Raw genomic sequence first — 1830 nt, forward strand, 5'->3', positions numbered from 1 at the left:
ATGGCAGGCTGTGTGTATTCCGGCCTTAGAGAAGTGAGTTGAAATGTATCTTTTAAAAACAACAACTTGGCCAGGCCCGGTGGCTCACGCCTGTAATCCCAGCACTTTGGGAGGCTGAGGCAGGCGGATCACAAGGTCAGGAGATTGAGACCGTCTTGGCCAACATAGTGAAACCCATCTCTACTAAAATACAAAAAAAAAAGAAAAAAAAGAAAAAAAGCCAGACGTGGTGCCGCGTGCCTGGAGTCCTAGCTACTTGGGACGCTGAGGCTGAGGCAGGGGAATCGCTTGAACCCGGGAGGCGGAGGTTGCAGTGAGGCCAGATTGCACCACTGCACTCCAGCCTGGTGACAGAGCGAGACTCCATCTCGAAAAAACAAACAAAAAAACCTTTATTTCTTCAGATTTATGTTACTGTTTACATGTGTAAACTATGTTTCAAGTTATTCAGTGCTGTCTTTATCCATTCATTCATTTAGAGTGCCTGTTATGTTGCAGCTCTGTTCTAGGGATTGGGGATTGAACAACGGATCAGACAGTGTTAGTTTTGGTCATCCCAGGAAAACTAAGCAGAGGCTTGCTCAAGAACTACTGAGGTCTTGGTGGGGTTCGGAGATTGGGGGAAGAGGAGATGGACAAAGGCTCCCAAGAGGAAGTAGTACTGGGTCTGCAGAATGACCCAACAAAGAATGAGAGCAAGGGATTCCAGGCAGTGGGAATTACTTGTACATAGGCCCTGAGACCTGAGAGCAGTGTGGGTTTGAGGCTCACAGTAGGAAGATTAGTAAAGCTGTAGCTAAGGAGAGGAGGAGGAAAAAACGGCTGGAAGGAGGGAGGAGAAATGAGATAAGGCTGGAAAAGTCAATTGGAGCCAGATCAGAAAGGTTCTGTAACCATGTGAGAAATGTATTACATATGTGAACTATACATTTATATCTCATGTCATTGGATTTTTGAGGTGGAAAATATTTAATTTATACCTGAGGAATGACTGTAAATTTCTTTCTTTCCACATATTCTTAAATGATTTCATCAATTTAATTTCAAATAATTCAATCACCATTTAGCTCAAGTTCTTTTTTTTTTTTTTTTTTTTTTTTTTTTTTTTTTTTTGAGACAGGGTCTTCCTCTGTCACCCAGGCTGGAGTATAGTGGTGCGATCATAGCTCACAACACCCCGAACTCTTGGGCTCAAGCAATCCTCTCACCTGAGCCTCCCGAGTAGAAGTGACTACAGGTGTGTGCCACCATACACAGCTAATTTATTTATTTATTTAGAGACAGAGTTTCGCTCTTCTTGCCCAAGCTGGAGTGCAATGGTGTGATCTGGGCTCAATGCAACCTCCACCTCCCAGGTTCAAGCAATTCTCCTGCCTCAGCCTCCCAAGTAGCTGGGATTAGCAGCATGCGCCACCATGCCTGGCTAATTTTGTACTTTTAGTAGAGATGGGGTTTCTCCATGTTGGTCCAGCTGGTCTTGAACTCCTAACTTCAGGTGATCCTCCCGCCCTGGCCTCCCAAAATGCTGGGATTACAGGTGTGAGCCACTGTGTCCGGCCCCTAATTTTTTTTTTAGTTTTATTTACTTTGAATAGAGATAAAGTCTGATTTTGTTGCCCAATTTGTTCCCGAACGCCTGGCCTCAAGTGATCCTCCTGCATCGTCCTCCCAAAGTGCTAAGATTACAGGCGTGAGCCAGCACACCCAGCCTGGAAATTCTTTAACAGCCTAAGAAACATAATTTGGATAAATATTTACTACCAAATGAGTTACTAAATATTTAAAAGGACAAGATTAAATGATCCTTGAGGTTTCTTTTAACTTGGAGAT

The sequence above is a fragment of the Homo sapiens genome, unplaced genomic scaffold (assembly GCF_000001405.40).
Source record: "Homo sapiens unplaced genomic scaffold, GRCh38.p14 Primary Assembly HSCHRUN_RANDOM_CTG6".
Lineage (NCBI taxonomy): Eukaryota > Metazoa > Chordata > Mammalia > Primates > Hominidae > Homo > Homo sapiens.